The sequence below is a fragment of the Homo sapiens genome, chromosome 9 (genome assembly GCF_000001405.40).
Source record: "Homo sapiens chromosome 9, GRCh38.p14 Primary Assembly".
Lineage (NCBI taxonomy): Eukaryota > Metazoa > Chordata > Mammalia > Primates > Hominidae > Homo > Homo sapiens.
In genome coordinates, this window is record NC_000009.12 from 115,393,405 (window position 1) to 115,413,001 (window position 19,597).

Here is a 19,597-nt window from a genome sequence, read left to right on the forward strand (position 1 = left end):
AAAAACTGGCCAAGCTGAGAGCATCTTTTGAAAAGATGGATCAGGACACAGTTTCATCTTTTCCAGAAGGTCAGTCCTCAGGAAACCAGACTTGAGTTTGCTATTGCTCCAGAGGTCAGCTGGGATGGGTCTGGGGGCCTAGAAACAAGACCAGCAAATATGCTGGCTGGGAGCGAGGGTGGCAGCAGGTGGATGATGCCAATCCTGGTCGACTCAGAGTCACAGCACCTGCCCAAGTCAGGAACTACAATTCTTCATAAAGAACAAAGAAGCTACATTTTACTGGGAGGAAAGAGCCACTGGGCTTGTAAAGGAGAAATGAAGGGCTGGGCTTAGCTCTCTGGGTCAGGAAGGATTTGTCAGAGAACAAAAATGGTAACTTGCGAGACATTAGAGAAAATTATCTCTGAGAGAAAGACAGGCTCGGCCTAACGTGTCTTTCCTTGTGGTTACATTATTTGGTGCTTGCTGGGTGACAAATCATCCATTTTTATCTTTTATGTAACTTTAGTTTTGATGTTAGGAGCTAAGAATAACTAATACCCAAGAGGGTATGACCCTGGAGCAAGGCATGCTGGGAAAGCACATTTCTGGGTGCATGTTGCCTCTGTGCCTAGAGACATGGATTCAAATAAAAGTCACAGCTACTGTCCCACCGGGGGCCATTGCTTTGGAAAGTTTAACTGAGCTTTTGAATACATCTTTGTTTGCCATTCTTATTCAAGGTTATCCAAAGACAAATCTGCTTCAAGAGAGGAGAAAGTAGTAAATTTAAATGGACCTTTCAAACAACGTTCAGTCTAAAAATGGAGAAGCTCAAGATCAAATACGTATTTGAAATCACTGGCTAAGAAACAAAATTAGTGTTTTCAATGGGCATCGTTTCCTTGGTCTTGCTGGCTCAGAAGAGCAAGTGCAAGGGTTGAGAAATTCTGTTCTTGCTCAATTCCATTAATGGTCAGGCAGTTGGGGGAAGAAAGCCAATCACCTCCCATCCTTTTCTGACTATTTTTGTTGTCTAGAGTTATGTCCATAAGAGGTCAACTCGCTGTGGCTGAAAAGAAGGGAGCGTATTGGATATTTAGTTGTGAACTTTTGCATGCATAGGCTGAGATGGGCTAGTCAGAGATTAATCATACCTGTGGGGCCAATTTGTTCCTTTCAACCATCATGGGAGGGAACCATGATTATTAGCGTCTCTACTTTATAGATGGGAAAACAGATTCCCAAGAATTTTGGTGACTCACCCAAGACCATACAATAACCTAGTGACAGAGTCAGAATGTGAACTGGAATCTCCCCAATGCTTGACTATACTACAATTATTGGAGGACCTAATGATCTTTTTTATCTTACCAAAAATCAGAAGAATGTTTAGTGACCAAACTCTGCATCTGGTCTTATTTCTCTTGACCTCTAGACTGAAATGTTCCCAATTTCTCCTCTTTCTGAGCCATATAGCATTGCCAGCTGGTAACTTCTCAGTAGGCTTAGTGAGATCAAATATGTGAGAGTTTTCAAATTGGGGTGTTTCAGCTTCAACGACCATCATGTGCATCCCTGGAATCCCAGGACACTGGGGCATAGACAAAGCTTAACCCCATCATATTATTTGACATAAGGGGAAACAGATTCAGAGAGAAAGAAGGAGTTGCTCATAGTCACACAACTGCTGTGACATTGCATGTCCATCGGTGTTTTCCAAGAACTGATGAAATAGATGTTCAAGGAAGCTCAAAGAGAAGAGATAAGGAGGAAAAACATTCATTATTAACAATCTCTGTCACTTCCTTGCTGTGCAATCTCTGATAGGTCTCTTAAACTTTTTAATTCTCAGCTACCTCCTGTGTTAAATAGTAATCATATTGGAAAATACCCCAAAGGTATATGAGGATTAATTGATTCTGTGTATGTAAGTCTCCAAGCACAGGGCCTGACCTTAGTAGAAATCAATGCATAGGAGCTATAATAAGGTCTTATCAGGTCAGAAGCACAGAGAGAAGGAGTGGGTTTGTGAGCTTGAGCGGGACATTGCTAGAGGGAGCTGAGAGAGTGATCTGAGGGGATGTCTGTGAGTTCCCACAGAGCAGTTCAGTTTGGGAAAACAGAGGGGTGAAGATAACAGGAAAAAAAAGGGCATGTCCTTTGGTAAATTGCTTATTGTTGCCCAGATATCACTGTGGTAACAAGGAAAGCCCCTGAAATCAGTTTGTCCACAGCTCAAGATATAACTCCCCAGGGTTTTCAGTGGCAAGTTAAGGGGTTCCAAGGAGGAGCCAGGAATGAGGCAGTCACAGATGGGAACATTTATTTCTTTGAGAGTCTTCCGTTTAAGATGTTCTCAGAGTTTTGGATGAGCTAAAGGGCTCTTCAGGCTAGAACTTGGTCTTGGAGGGCAGCTTCCCTTCCACCTGGCCATGTTTATCTTACTTCCATTAGAAGGCAAGATGCCAACTTTCCTATTCAATGAAGTGTTTAGATTCCATGAGGTTTGTAAATAGCCTCTGGGAACTCCTTTCTGAAACTTCCCATAGGACTTCTAAACTCTCCTTAATCAGAGCAGATTGCAAGAGCAAATGCTTCTTATTATGGGTTTTAAAAAGGTGAGTAGACCATAGATAAAAATCATAGTAAAAGTGGGAATTTGAGGAAGGTCTGTTTGCTCAGGAAAATTTTCTAAATTTCAAGGTTATAAATGAAACTGTAGATGATCACTCAGGCAGGATGTGGTTTAGTTTCTTCATGACCATGATAATGTTTTTCACATAAAAAGATAAGTAGTACTCATAGAATGATGTAGAGAAAATCATTTTGTTTGAAAGAATAAATTGTTCAAGCATTTGTAGGCAGTCATTCAGTTTTAAGTAGCTACAGACAACCCTTATCTGTTCAGTTACAGACAATCCTTATCTGTTCATGGCAAGTAGCCACATACTTTTCACCAATATCCTTTTCTGTAGCTCCCCAGTGAAGAGTTGACATTAAAGTTCCAGGGTGGAGTTGGAGTAATTTTGTTTTCCTCCAGGGGACACAAGTGCAGAGAATGGATAAAACACAAACACTAACAGAGAATAGATAAAGCTTCACTCTTTAATGCCACCTCCTGGAGCCCATATGAAACCCAAGAGTGAAGAAAGCAAAGGGTTCTTAGGCATAATAGGGCATTAAGGATAACCATCTCTTATTTCTTTTCATTCCAGACAGGGTTTGGCCTGGCAGTTCAACCTGATTGCATGAAGGGTTGTGGTAGGCAGAGATGTCTGATTGCCTTTGAATTCTTTGTTTTCTAACCAGAGGGGAGATAGTTCTTTCAACAGAAAGTCCCAGCAAGTGCAACAACAACCGCGGCCTGGTGTGCCTCTACTTGCCTTGGCTGCCTCAGAAAGAGCCCTGAACACTCCTCCTAGGGCCTGTCTATGAAACCAACTGGATGTAGTCTTATTATTTATCAGAAGTTGCCAAGCAAGCAGTGGTAGACAGCAGGCTTTCAGGGAATTATCCCAGGGATTCCTTACCAGTCTTCAACCAGATATCACACCAGAGCAATACATATTCCCCATGCAAGAAGCAGAGTAAGCAATCCATACCCTTAGATACATAACACTGATTAGTGCCTCTGTTGTTAAAGTTATTTCCCTTTGTATAAGATGTATTCAATGTTTCAATGTTTACAGTGAATTTAAGAGGTAGATATAATAGTTATGGTGAAAACCCTCATTTTGCAGAAGAGAAAACAGAACATTGCCTATGCAAAATGAATCTACCAAGGTCCGCAGCTATTAAGTGCAAAGTACAGGATTTAAACCTGTTTTGAAAAAATTGACAAAGTCTCAGGGCCTTGTCCTGGGTCCATTCATTCCATTCAGTCACATATATTCTAACTCATTCATTCATTCCTTTAGCAAGGATGAATAGAGCACCTGCTACGTTACAAGCCCTACTCTAGGTACTCAGGTTACGTCACAGAACAAGAAAGACACAAACATTTGCCTCTGCAGTAAGATATAGAATAAAATATGTATAATGTCTCCCTTTCCATTGTCAGCCATCACCTTGCGCAGCACGGCTTTCTACTTAAAGAGTGTTTATTGTGTAGGCGAAGTGGGCACAGACAACGGACGATAATCACAATACCAGTTTAAATACTAGATAAAAGGTGCTAAGTGATCTGGAAGAAAGAGAGGAGGGCAAAGGAGATCAGAAGTGTTAGGTAGAAGGACAATTACAGTTTTAAGTAGGATGACTATGGTAGTCCTCATTGAAAAGGTAAATTTGAGTTTGAATAAGCTCCAGAGAGGAATCTGGGAAAGAGCTTTCCAGGCAGAGGACAAAGCAAGAGAAGAGATTCTAAGGTGCCAGGCATGGCTAGAGCCTTGCCTGTGAGTGACGGGAGAGTAGTGGAAGCTGAGGTTTGCAAGATAATGGGGCCAAATCATGGGGGCCCATACAGGTCATTGTGATGACTTAGGCTTTTACTCTGTAAAAACTGTAAAGTCACTGCTGAGTTTTGAGCACTGAAGTGGCATAATCAAATTATATTTTTTCAATGATTCCATTGGCTGCTGGGTTAATATTAGTTTGAAGGGGGCCAGGGTAGAAGCAAAAAATTCAAAGAAGGCATACAACAGAGACAGTAAAATATGTGCATGAAAGCCTTCCAGTTTGTCCTGGGTATTTATGAAGACACCTCACATTCTCTTTTTGCAGTGAAGTGAGCATGATATGACTCGGTTTTGCCTAGAAGCGACATCACCATTTCCAGGCCTGGCCCTAAAACCTGACATGTGTTCTAAACTCTGCTCCTTCTGCAGCAACCATTGAGACCCTGTGTTGTGGATGAAAGCATTGTAGGGTGGAAGGAGCTGAGGTCCTCAATGACAGCGTGGAGCACAACCACCCCTTCCCATGCCAACCACACTGGGCTGTGACTTGAGTAGTTTTGGAAACTATAAAAAAGAACATTTTGTAAAAATTCCTTGTCCCTCTCTATTTCTTTCAACCTTGTTGCCAGAGATTGTTGAGATTAACTTCCTGTTTTTATTTTTCAAAGCAAGAAGAGCAGGGCACGGGTCAAATGCACCTCTTCTCCACATCTCCCCAACAGCTGCTTAAAATCATGCCTCTGTCCTATCACACTTTTCAACATCACAGCCTGCCTCGGGGACCTAAGACACTTATTATGGAGAATCTCTAAGTCACTCTGTGCCGAATGTGGAAAAAGAAAACACTATAACCACAACAATCATTAAAATTAAAATAAATTTGTTTTCCCTTTCTTCCTAAAAATATATCAAATTATTGGCAAGGTTTCCTTGAACATTTCAGCATGTTTACTATTTGTTTGAATTCTTTTCTAAGCAGATTGTCATTCACTATACCAGTTGTTGAAAATTATTTAAACTCCCCACACCACCAAATATATATATAGAGAAAGACAAATAGAGAGATAGATATAGATATTCTTTTACCTTCCTTCAATTTGATGTTTTATCAGATACCTATGTTTAGAAAATTTCAAAGGTAGAAACCCAATTAGCCTTAATGATAGACAGGAAGTAAACTTTTCCCAAAGAAATTACCATAATTCTCCCTAAACAGCCTCTTGGACATAGAAAAGGGGAAATGAGGATTAATATGCTTACTACGTGCTGGGACTACACTGGGAACATTATTTAGAATATTTCATAAATATCTTCAGCATTACTCTTAGCCAGCTTGTGGTTAAGATGGAAGGAGCCAGTGCTAGTATTATCTTCTCTGACAAATGATAAGCAGGCACAAAGAGGTGACATGACTGTCACCATCCCACACTGCCAGGAAGAGCATATCTGGATGTGTGGGGCACATCACTGCAGATGCTATTACTTTCTTTTCCTGGAACAGTCAGAGGTAGAGAAACACTGCAAAACTGATACAGAACAACTGGGGGATGCATAGCAGCACAGCAGTTTAGGAAACCACCATTGGATTTGGCCAGGACTGGGTGTGGATCTTGGTTTTGTCCCTTTCTGGATGTGGTCTTTGACAATGTTGCTCAGTCTTTCCGTGTGTCCTTAAACATCAGTAATGGCTATAGTATATTTAACATGGTCTCTGGCGTATTATGAGTACTCAAATTGTAGCCACTGTGTTTATTCTAGTACCACTAAAATGTCTCCTGATTTTGAAAGGAGCATCCCCAGAGCATTGTGTGGCTCATTTACAGATTTGTAAAATGTAACATTTACCTACACCCTCAATATCTGCTGAACACTTTCAATAGGCAGTGACCATGGGTCCTCCTTGAAGGTCATAACTAGTTAAGTCAGGAGGATTCTTCAGGGGTTTAGGAGAGAATGAGAGAGCTGACTCCCGGAAGTGGGAAGGGAATCACCCTGACTATTTCCTGTCTTTGCTGCTTTCCTTTCTCATAAGGGAGGGCTCTGGGAATGGGAGGCAGCAGCATCCTTGTCCATACTACACATCCTTTGTTCCCTCCCACCATGGGCAAGGAGGGATGGATTGTAGCATAGCCATGTGAGAACCATGGAGCAAAGGTGGAAGGCTAGAGGGCAGCAGGGAATCTAATTAGCACTAGTCAATTATCTGTTCTATGCAACCTGATGAGTTTGCTGTCAGAGGGAATGCAAAAACAACAACAAAGAATTTGTTTTTCATCTTCATCTCTATGAGCTCCTGTGGTGCAACTGTCAGAAAGCACTTGCCCCAAATATTTTATTTATTGTCAACTTTTGCAGAGAATGGAGTAATTCCCATGGGATCTGCTAGGTAGGTTAATGGACTGAGAAGATTAATAAATTATAGACATGGTACTTTGTGCAATGTACTAATGTGTATTGAACATTATTTCATTAGATCATTACAAAAGATTGCCATCTGATGATGTTTTCTGTTGCTATAACAGAATACCTAAGACTGGGTAAGTTATAAAGAAAATAAGTTTATTTCTTCCAGTTCTGGAGGCTGGGAAGTGGAAGAGCATTGTGCCAGCACCTGGTGAGGGCCTTCTTGCCGTGTTACACATGATGGTAGGTGAAAGCTCAGTAAGAGAGGAAGTATGAGGGGCAGAACTAGCTTTATAAAACCCACTCTGAGGATAACTAGCCCACTCCTGGCATAAAGGCTTTAATCCATTCATGAAGGTGGAGTCCCCATGACCTAATCACTTCTTAAAGACCACACCTCTTAATACTGATACAATGGCACTTACATTTCAACATGAGTTTCGGAGGGGACAAACACTCAAACTACAGCAGTAGCTATCCCCTTTTTAGAGATAAGAAAAATGCATTTAGCAAAGTTACATAGCCAGAAAGTGTCAGAGTCAGAAATCTACCCAGGATTGTCTACTCTAGCCTCTTAAGCACCCATATCTCTCTATTACATCTCCACATTTAAAACAAAAGCCATGGCATATGATTCTACACTGTTGAGGGGACTTTAGGGTGCTTGCTGTTTGAGCCCCTGAGACAGGCCTCACATCCAGTGGAGCTGGTGTCTGGCCTCAGACTGCAAGAGGAGAAAGTGCACATCTGTTAGTCTTTAACATGCATCATTGAAATTCTTGCAAGGAGTCTGGATGGAGCTGGTGTTCTTCCCTGTGCGTGACCTTAGGCCAGCCAGTGGCCAGCAAGAGAGAAACACACCAAGGTTCCCAGGGAGGCTCTGAACAACTCTTTCCCGGAATTGCTTTTCCTGCCCAACCTAGTGTGAAAGGAATGTGGTGAGTGGTACATCCAGGGAGATGGCCTACACGGATACCTTCTTTGTGTCTCTTATTATCTTTAGGTTTTTACTGATGCCCTGCACAGAGAGAGGTCTGTAAAGTGGCAAGCAGGAGTCTGCTACAATGGAGGAAAGGATTTTGCTGTATCTCTTGCCAGGCCCAAGGCTGCAGAGGGAATTGGTAATATACTTCATTTAATAATAGTGTTTTAAGGGACATTATCATTTCATCCTATGTGGTAGATGTGATCATCTTCATCTCACAGATGAAAAGAGACAAACCTGGGATTCAGAGGTACTTGCCTATGAGTTTCTTACAGATTTCCTCTTACAATCCAGAACTGCTGATTCCTGGGTCAGTGTCCTTTCCAATATGGCATCTTAGGCATGGCAATAAGTGAGATCTAAAAGCTAGTTATTTGATGCTTGGACAAAGGCTTAGGGCATGGGCTTTGACCTAATGAATCAGTAGATTCTAGTCTAATATTTTAAAGGATTTGAAATGATTCCAGTTTATAAGCCCCTTTAACTGTCTTCTAAGATGTGGCTAAACATTCCAACCTTCCTTAGCTCAAAAGTGGACAAAACAAGAGATTACACATGTTGATACTTTGGGAGTCATAGAAAATTCACATATACATAGGCAGAGTGGTTCTGTAATTAACCAAATCTTTAGAGGTCCAAGGTTAACAGTATTGACCATTCATAATTAGCCATAAACTCAGACATTTTAAAAGCCTCATGAAAATAGAAGTATAGTTTTCAAATGTTACAGACCCCAAACACCAGTGTTTTATTGCCTACAGCAAGCATAGCTCACAGATCATCACAAGGCCTTGCACAAAGGAAGCCCAGTGAATATTTGTAGATCCGATTTAATTAATGAAGGCACAAACCCCCTGGCTTTCTTGCTGGGTTTCATGACATCTTATTAAACACACTTTATTTAGCAAGCTTGGTTATTTGCTTTTTTTTTTTTGTCTCCCAGCAGATTGAATGTAAGTGACTTGGAAAAGGAAGAGGAGTTGCCAGAAACAGCTAAAATGTCAGTAGAAGACTTGACAGCTTGAGAATAGAGGAAAAAATAAAAGCGAAGCAGACAAAAAGAACCTTACCTCCCCCACAATACAACATTGGGCTGCTGAACCCACAAAAATCTAAATCCGTTTAGAATCATCTATTTAACTCCTCAGAGACATGCACAAACTATTCTAGAGAGGCTTGTGCCTACGAAGATTACTTAAGAATGTGTTGACACATTTGGAGGGGGTTAATTTACCAGTTATCATTTACTAGAAAGGCTTTTTCTATAAGAATATATGAAAGAGTTTCCTCGGAGCATTCAACCGGGCTTCTTTGTAGGGTATGTGTACTGCTTGGAGCTACGGAAGACCACGTCCTAGAAGTGCTGTGTCCCTGAGGCACACCTATGTGTGTTATCTCTCTGGCATACTTTCCAACAAGGATTCTTTTCTAGTCTATACATTCTGATTAATTTGCAGTCAGAGGCAATGCAAAAAGCATTCCTTTTCATCCTAATCTCTGTAAGCTCCAATATGGTACAGCTGTCAGAAAGCACTTGCCCTGAAGATTTCCTTTATCATCAACTTTTAGAGTAAATGGTATAGATCTGCCACTGCCTATTCTGGTTTCAAGATTTGGTCTTACATCGTTTTTTTCCTTTTTGTGGCAAACAAAATACAAAAACAAATCAGCAAACAAAAAATGAAAACAAAGGAACAGACATTTATATATATGTATGTATGTATATATATACATACATATATGTATACATATATGTATGTATATATATACATACATATATATATAGACAGAGAGAGAGAGAGAGAGAGAGATATGTTTGCATGTATAGTTAGTGATATGGTTTGGCTCTGTGTCCCCTCCCAAATCTCATCTCAAATTGTACACTCATAATTCCCATGTGTTGTGGGAGGGACCCTGTGGGAGATAATTTGAATCATGAGGGCAGTTTCCCCCATACTGTTCTCGTAGTATGTGTGAGTAAGTCTCACAAGATCTGATGGTTTTATCAGGGGTTTCCGCTTTTGCATCCTCTTCATTTTCTCTTGCCACCGCCATGTAAGAAGTGCCTTTCGCCACCTGCCGTAATTCTAAGGCCTCCCTAGTCATGTGGAAATATAAGTCCAATTAAACCTCTTTTTCTTCCCAGTCTCAGGTATGTCTTTACAAGCAGCATGAAAATGGACTAATACAGTCAGATAGATGATAGATATAGATATAGAAGTAGATATATAGGTATGGATTTAATGTAATTGTTGTTAGCAATGAATTATGAGCAAATTGTCTGTAGAATGCAAGACAGAAAGAAGCCTTCTTTCTATGCTGAGTTTATCCATATTCCTATGACACTGATAATTAACACTGTACCAATTAATTAATTAGTACAATTAACATGTATTGATTAGTCACTGTCCATAAGCAAAGCCCCGAGTTTGACTGAGGTGTAAATTCAGTGTGTGGCTCTAGTATGAATGAATGAATAAATCATATTGATGTGCGTCATGGGGGCAAGGCATAGATTTACTGTGCTAATCCACGAAGATTTCTTAAAGAGTTAATCACTAGACATAATGTATAATGTCAATAATGGACATAATGATGGATTAAAAATGTCAATGGTAGAAATAATGATGGCAATACAGAAAAGAGTTACATTTTATTGGATATCTGGTGTTTGTCTAAAATAATTCTTACTACTTTATCTATACTCTCACAATAAATCCTCATAAGAACACATTGAGACAGAAGTCATTAGCTGCTCATTATTGAACAGGAAACTGAGAATCAAGGAGGTTAACTCAAAACCCCAATTCACTCAGCTAGTAAGTGACAGAACTGGGATTTCACCCTAGGTCTGCTTGTCTTTAAAATCCCTCCCTCCTCCACCCTTCTTTCTATTTTTCACCCTCCCCCACTTTTTCTTCTCCCCTCTTCTTTTTCTTCTCCTTTTTCTTCTTCTTCGTCCACTCCTTAATGCTAGCTAAGCTCATAGATGTCTTCTTTGATGTATTATCCCTGATATCCTTTTCAAGAGTAAAATGATTAAAAATATAAGCATAAACATTTATTGACACCTACTTTTTACAAAGCACTGTGGCATTAAAACTTGCAATTTATAAAAGAATGGGGCAATAGAGCACATGTTTGCTAAATGCTTATGATGAATCAGGTACTATATATTTTACATTACCACTTTTTAATCTTCTCAATAACAATATCTATTTTATTCTCATTTTACAAGTGAAGGGACTGCAGCCAAGAAAGTGTAAGGAAGAAACTGGTATAGAATTACATGTCCTGTAGAAACTCTGACTTGCCTAAATAGTAACCAATTCAGGCAATGTCTTTTTAGCTGGGCCAAGACACACAGAAAGGAGTGATGCTCTGAACCTCTAGGACTGAAGGGCTTGCACAGCCCCTGTGCTCAAGCACACACAGAGCCTCAAATGGAATGTTTTGGAGACATTCTTATACAGAATATGGGAGGTATAAATTCCAGAGGGCCATTTGATGGTAAGTTATCAAGTAGGTAAAAGAGTTTATTGGCTGACCGAACAGTTACATTCCTATAAATGATATGATGAATGCTAAAAAAAAATGCATGTATACAGTGAAGCTCTTTGTGCATGCTCTTAAAAGAAATAGTAAACAAAAATGGTATAAAGTAAAAGTTAAACTCAAATAATATAGACACTTCATAAAATAATAGCATTGTCATACAATGGAACAAAACGCAGCTGTTAAGATGACTTACACCCATATTCAATGACATGAAAACATGTCTAATGTATAGCCCAGGTAAGAAGCATTTCAAAACTATGTATTAGGGCTGGGCATGGTGGTTTACACCTATAATCCTAGCACATTAGTAGAGCAAGGTGGGAGGAACACATGAGCCCAGGAGTTTGAGACCAACCTGGGCAACATAGTGAGATCCTATCTCTTTAAAAAACAGAACAAAACAAAACAAAATCTATGTATTAGATACTGAATAAATCCATATTTCTAGAATTAACACACACATATACACCTGAAAAAAATGTGTATGAACCCACAACTTTATTTTTGATTGGCTTTTGATTGTGGGATGAAGAATAATCTATACTTCTTTCTTAAAATTTTCCCAAATTTTTTGTTTTCTAATAATATAAACTAATATTTATTGAATGCTTACAGTGTGAAAAATAACTTATTTATACTTCTTTCATTATCACAATAATCCCTATTTTAATATTATGCAACCTGAGGCACAGAGAGGCTGATAGGCTACCCAAGAGAGTGGCAGAGCTCAAATTTAAGTAGATTTTCTGCTTCTGCAAGCTCACGGTCCTATCTACTACTTTATACTACAATTGCTACTTAACAATTTTGACATTAAAAAGTACAATTGAACAACACTAATAAAAATAACTTAAAATTTTTGCTTCCAGAAAATGCACAATTATCTGTTAATTTTACACAACATAATAAGTGGAGTTTCCACTATTTCATCATTTAAAGGCTAAGCCATTCTTCATTTTCAGGTGTCTCCATTTCTTTATTTTTGACAACATGTCTTTCAGAAGATACTTAAAATAGATATTGTCTAATGTTTTCTTAACTCCTGGGAAAGATTGCCGCACGGAATTATTTAGCATCCAAGGTGTCATGGGATGTTTTAAGAGGTAGAGTATGTGGTTTTAGTGGTGGTATGGTTGTTTCTTTTTGTAGAGGAATTTATGGATTGCCAAGTGTCAAACTCAAGAGGTTTAATTGCAATTTAACTTCCAAGCCACAGCCTTCAAACGTATTTGGGACTTTATAAGACATAGTACAGCTCCCCTGAGACCCCACCACCCTGTGGGCTGCTCTATCATGGTACTTATCATGGTTCCTAAAGCAGTTTGACTTTTTGTCTAGATGTTTCATTAGACTGAAAGCTGGATCCGTCTTGTCAACTGCTGCATCCTCGGAATTTAAACATTCAGCTTATTCTGAAGTCTGCTAGTTCGTAGGGCCAGGAAGTTCTCAAAATGCTAGTATTGAATGCAGGGTGCATCTCCTCTCCTATCCCCCTTAAAGCTATTTTAAAAAGTGTGCGACATTTCTGCATTCTGTAAATCAAGATGGAATCTATCTCTTGGAGGAGACTTTTAGATGTGCCTTTGTTACCTTAGAGATATAGGTAATTTATCACTTATTGTTCTAAGGAAAGTTTAGAACCAAAGTAATAATGTAGAGGGTTTGTCCTCAGTCTAGAATGTAAGGTTCTCAAACAAAGGATGTTCATTTTAAGCAGAAGGCATCTCTCAGTGATGATGATGATGCTGATTTTAATTTCTTCAATGTTCTGGTGGGGTTAAGAGACAGCAGGGGTTAAGGCGACCTGAGAAAAGCAACTTTTCTCCTGTGACACCTCAAATGCTGAGAAAAATGACCATGGGGGTGTCCTGTAAAGAGAATAAAGAGAAATGGTGTGTGTACTCAAGGGGGAGATATTTTGTATCCAGCTCTGGGTTTTTATTTATGCATTTTCACTCTCTTGTATCATGCTCAAGCCTTAGCAAAGTTTGATAAAGTTGAGTGTTTTGTCTCAGCTGATGGAAAAGAAGTTGGGGGCATTGACCTGGAATGAGAGATGAGAAGCCCAACTAAGATAGATTTGTGGAACATACAATCACTTCCTAGGGATTCTCAGAATTATATGGGAAACAGGCAAGGCTTCCTGCATACTCAGTATTGGGACCTGGATCATATTATTTGGATGTGAAAGGGAAAGCTGCCCCAAGGAGGATAGAGAGCCTGGGGTCACTTGGCTTACATTTGGTTTAGAAAATTTAAGTTTCCTATAGGATAAAGAGCACAGGGAAGATATCTGTCAAACATTTCATAGCCCAATTAACTGAATCAGTTATTTATTCCCAAATCACTATAGCTTTACAACCATAATTTGATTTCATATTCCCAAAGATACACTTATCTGGTAAATATTTTATAGAGTTAAAATATCTTTGAGAAAACATAGGTTTTTCTGAATCCTGATATTGTGGCAATTTTATCAAAGCACAGTGAAGCTCCAGCTTAGAAAAATTAAAACCATGATCAGAAAACTGTCCTCATGAACCAATCTCTGTCTTTGCATCTCCAGCATAACTGAACAATTTTCATGCATTTCTAAGAACAAATTGCAAACAGACATCCCAAGAGGATGTTTTAACACATCACCAATTTGGAAACGATGGCTGGAAATGTCAGCTAGGAGAAACTTTTAGACACATATGATGGGATGGACCAGCCATAGGCACATATCTCTTAGACTGAGAGTGGTAAACCTAAGAACTGGAGAAGCAGGGTTAAAAGAACAAGCCCACTAGTCTTCTCCTCCATGAATATATGTGATTACTACAGTGTCTCCTTATCCTCTCAAAGGATTGCTGTCTTTGGCAAAGCTAAGGATCTGAACGGCAAAAGGAGGTGATTGATGGTCCATGATTGGATTTCCAGAGCAGAAGCTGAAACCTCTGAGTACTGACTCCACCTCCTTGACTTCTCCCCTGCCACCTCCTCCTTAACTGATGGCCAGTGGCCAACTGAGAGTCCCAACCAGGGAAAGCCATTTCCTCTCCCCAGCATGTCTGGAGGGCATCATCATCTTCTGTGCCCATTTCTCAGGTGTATTGCCACATCAGTATATGATCTGAGATGGTATCTCCAGCTTCCTAAACAACTAAGGGAGATCACAGATCAAAGGCTTTGGGAGGAAAGGCAAGGCCAGTAGCAAGGGGAATTCTTTCCAGAAGAAAAAGGTAATCACTTCTCAAGACATAATCTGACCCAAGCCAGTTAATATCATTTGCATCTTGCATGACTTTTGTTAATGGGGCTCAGTCAACTTGACATTTTTAAATGTTTCATTGTTTTAGTTCTTCTAGATAAAATCATGACTGTTCATTGAACTGTTGTATAGACTATAGACTAAATAAAAGTGGCTTTTAATGTGTATAATGACTAATCTACTCCATTTTTAACCACAACTGAAAGCTATGAATGAATGTTAAAATTTTGTATCAAAGATACTCAAACTTTTGGAGTTTTTCTTTATTTGGAAAGACAGAAATGTTTACTTTTTATTGTTACCACTCTCATTTTACATAGAATAAAATGAAGATTAAATTAGCTAAAGACTTGAAATGGGACAAAGCTGGGAGTATTCCAGGTTGGATGAGACGGAAGCAGTGTCCTATCATGAAAAAAGTATTGATAACAAGTATCAGACAACTTTGCCCACTGTCTTGGGCTTGGAGATACAGTGGCTAGAAAATTATGCCCTCTGCCTCCAGGGACATCAGTCTCACACGGGAGGTCTCTCAGAAGCAGAAAATTGCAGTAGAGAAATGCAATCTGGTAAGTGCTACAAGGGGAGAAGAAGACAAACTGGGAGGCCACCCTTTCTAATGGGGGGGGAAATGTGATATGCCAAGGAAAACTCTGAATGGACTGAGGAGACAGAAAGAGTTGTGTACTCACTCTAAATAGTTATTTAAATGTGGCTGGGACACAGTGTATGTGGATGTAAGCAAGTCATGATGAGGTGGCTGTTGAGAAATAAAGCTCAACCAAGATTCAAGGATGAGATTCTGGAGGACCTTGTGTTCTAGCATTTTTAACATGATTCCAGGGCAATGGAGAGCCAACAATCATTAGGTGACAGTTATTTATTTGTACATTTACTTGTCAGGTATTTGTCATGCATCTCGTACTTTTTATTTAACAAACATTTATTGAACACATAAAGGCACTGGAGACAAAGCAGAAAAATAAATAAACACAAAAACAAACAAACAAAAGACAGACAAATCCTTCTTCCTCGAAGGAGCAGATGGCAGTTTTAGATGTAGTAGTCAGGGAAAACCTCACTGAGAAGGTGGCATTCGGGCAAAGATATGAAGGAGGTGAAGGGTAAGCCATGTGGGTATCCATGAGAAAAACATCCTAGGCAAAGGGGAAAACCAGGGCAAAGGTCTACAGGAAAGAGGGTATTGGGTGTGTTTGAGGAACACCAAGAAAGCTCATGGGGCTGGAGAGGAGATGAATCTAGAGAGATGACAGACCATGTGGAACATTGTGCAGGCTTTGGCGCTTACCCTGGATCAGAAGGGAAGCCACTGGAATGTTCTGAGTAGAAGCTTGAAGTACTAACGCTTCCAGTCCAGAACAATTCCTTGGAGTTGAGATGAAACAAGGACAGAAACAAAGAAACCAGTTAGGAGGCTGGTACATTAACCCAAGAATAAAAAATGGTGGTAACTTGGATTGTAGTCGAAGCAGTGCGTATGGTCAAAAGTTGTAGTGACACCCAACAAGATGTGTTGATCCATTGGAAGTGGTGTGCAAGGACAGATGGAAAGTCCAGAATGACTTCATGTTATCAGCTTGAGCACCTGACAGGATGGGGTTGTCCTTAGCTGTGTCCCATGGGGAAGACGGTGGGAAAGAAGCTGGGAACATGTTGTGGGAGAAGATAAGAAGTTTAGTTTTTGATCAAAATATTGATTGCATATGCAAGTACAAAGACAATTATTAAAATCAAAGTTTTGGGGACAGGTGTGGTATAGACATATAAATTTGGAGTTCTTTGGTCTATGGAAGGTATTTAGATGTAGAAGAATAAATGAAAACACTGAGAGTCAGACATCGTCAGACACTGGGACATTCAGCAGAGAGAAAAATAAACCAAATGCTTGTCCTTGAAGACCTCACAATAAATAAAAATAAATAAATAGAACAAAGTACAAAAAGTAACGAGTAAAACAATATTATACTGATTTCTGGATGCAGAGTAGAGAACAACGTGGGAGGGAAGACAGACCTGAGAAGTTGCTTTTGCAATTCTCAGAGGACATCTTGTCTTGAATTTGGTGTCGGCAGTGGGAATAGAAAAAAGATTTGGGAGACACTAACAAGATTTGATCTGTAAAACTGGGTAATTTTTTTTAAGTCCACCAAAATATTTTGCTCAAAAGACACAAAAACAGTTTTTGGTACTTAAAAAAAAAAAAGGCAGCAAAGTGAGGTTGCAACTCATAGAATTGACCTTAGTTGTAATCCCCACTCCGTTTGCTTAACCCTTTTATTACAATTGGTGCCACTTTAACTTTTCTATGTTTTAGTTACCTTTTCTGTGAATGGGATAAATAACACTTTACAATGTTTCTACGAGTATTAAAGAAAAACTTACAGAGTAGCTCCTAGCAGGAAGGGTTAGTGTGGAATAGTTAGCAGGTGTAGGAGAGGAAAAAAATCACTTTTTCCTCTACCCAGCTTTGGTTCAATGGCTGGACCCCTGCAAATTAGACTAACAAATGACAGATTAACAAGATAAGAACAAAGAGAAATTGACTAATATGTGCACTGCATTATTCAAAGGAATATTCAGTGATGAGTAATTTAAAGGGATGGGTATACCTTGGGCATATATGTCATCTTAGAAAAGAATAATAAATTTGTAGACAATTGATAAGACAAAAGAAAATGACTTTGAGTTCTAGTGGTGGCAAATTGTAGGAAGGAAAATATATGAGAAAACTAACGGAAGAATAGAGCTAATTAGTGAGGTTTGTTATGTAGATTCTCCTGGTACAGTCTTCAGTCTCAAGGATAATAAGGGTTTAGAATTGTTTCAGGTGATTAAATTATGTCCTTTCTGGTAGAGAACGTGGGGTGGGGGGGGTGCATCCTTATAAATTTATGTCCCACTTTTAGGCAAATAAGAGTAGGACAGAGAGCTTTTATTTTATCTGCTTCCTCTCAATTGTCTTCAGCTCCAAATAATCAATATGCCAAAGTGGCATATTCTGCTACCCTTCACAGGTATTCAGAAGTTATTACTTCTCTTTTTATCTAATTAAGAAGCTCAAAAACTTCATAAAATGAAATAAAAACAGAACTCATTAACTCAACTAAAAAAATGACTTTAGGCATGGTTGGATCCAAGCTTATCAAAGCTCAGCTTCTTTTCCTCTCTCACTCTGCTTTCAGATCTATCAGTTTTATCATCAGACAGGCTTTAACCAGATAATGCAAGAGACTGAGGCTGTAAAAGCTGGCTATTCCAAGTGTCAGGCTACAAAATGTTATTTGTTTTGTCATCAAGGCTCCTTTTGTCCTACCTCAAGCGGAGCTATCTGTTAACTATTCCACCATCTATGTCCTTATGATATTGAATTGGTGCTGTGACTACAGGCAACCTCAGTGGAAAGAATGTCTCTTTTCCAATATCTTCAGCAAACTTTCCAGATATGACTCTTGGCCCATCCTAGAATATGCTACATTCTTGACTATGGACAAGAGGTTGGAATTCTCTCATTTACCTAGGGCTGGAATCAGCCTCACCCAAACCTCATAGAGTAAGGTTAAGGGAGGATCAAGGAGGAAAAAATTTCAGTCCGCTATTTTACTTTTGCTATTTGATTATACTTTCAAATACTTCAAATGTTTCTGGCCACCAGGCTTCTCATTTTGTTATGTAGTAGCCATGATGGATTTCATGACTCAAAGACTATGACAACCTATAAACTCTTTGTAAGAAGAAACCTTCACTTGAGCCTGGGAAGTCTAGGCTACAGTGAGCTGAGATCATGCCACTGCACTTCAGCCTGGGAGACAGAGAGAGATTCTGTCAAAAAAACACAAGAACAAAAACAAACAAACAAACAAAAAACAGAATACAGAAAAGCAACCTTGTGCTTGGGAGGAAAGCCAGGCATATGCCCCTACCCCTCCAACTACTTTCCATTCCTGCCTCCTCTTCATATCCTTCCATAGATAGCTGTCAAAACCATATTGCTTTGAAAAAACAAAATAGCATTTCAGTTCCACTCAGCCTTTTAACAACTGAAGATAGTAGTTAACTGTAAGACAAATAAAGGGATTCCTAAAGGCACAAGCACAGCATGACAAATTAGCAGGCTCATGGCCCTAGGATAGGAGAGAGCTTCCCACTCAGTCTGAATCACCAGCTCACTGGTGGGAATAATTTATTTGATGCAAATAAAAAAATTGAACATTTATAAACCAGCTAAACAAGAAGCTTAAGGGGAGAGCTTCTGGTGCTTGGAAAAAAGAATTTATTCTCCATGGGAATTAGATGATTGGACATCTATCAGGACTTCGGACATGCACACATCTGGTACAAATTGCTAGGATACTTAGTCACTTAGTAAAGTCCTCACCAGCACGTAGCTTTTGATTATAGACCTTGCTCTTCCACTGGAAAGCCTTTCCTCTAATGTGAGAAGGACATATTGGAACTGTCAATCATACCCCCAAAATAAACCTCTAACTTACTGCTCTCTATTTCAATGTCCTCACTAGAGTCTACTCTCTTGTCTAGAAAACTGGTGGCAGTAGTTAACAGGTTTTTCTGCTTATTCTTTTTTTAAAATAATCTTTTTATTTGAGAATAATTTTAAATTTACAGAACGGTTCCAAAAATAATACAGATAGCTTTTGTAGATCTCTCATCTGGTTTCTCCTAGTATTAACATCTTACAACACCACAGCACATTTATCACAACTAAGAATCCAAAATTGGTACATTACCATTAACTAAACTGCAGACTTTATTCAGGTTTAACCAATTTTTATGCTGACATCATTTTTCTCTTCCAGGATACCACATAGCATGTAGTCATCATATCTCATTAGTGTCCTCTGGTCTGTGACAATGTCTGTCCTTTCCTGCTTTTCCTGCCTTGACAGCTTTGTGGAGTACCTGAGGCCAGAAATTTTCACCAGTGAACCCAGTTCATGTTTTTCTGATGTTTGCCTCATTAAACTAAGTTTATAGATT

The 19,597-nt window shown here is 39.2% G+C and overlaps 1 long non-coding RNA gene across 1 annotated transcript in view; it reads left to right on the forward strand.

The window, feature by feature from the left end:
• The window catches only part of DELEC1 (deleted in esophageal cancer 1), a 260,827-nt gene extending 251,587 nt beyond the window's left edge, over positions 1 to 9,240 (forward strand). The window contains exons 6-8 of the long non-coding RNA NR_163556.2: positions 6,955 to 7,028; positions 7,789 to 7,906; positions 8,714 to 9,240. This is a non-coding gene — a long non-coding RNA (deleted in esophageal cancer 1). The remainder of the gene's footprint in view (positions 1 to 6,954; positions 7,029 to 7,788; positions 7,907 to 8,713) is intronic.
• The last annotated feature ends 10,357 nt before the right edge of the window (positions 9,241 to 19,597 follow it).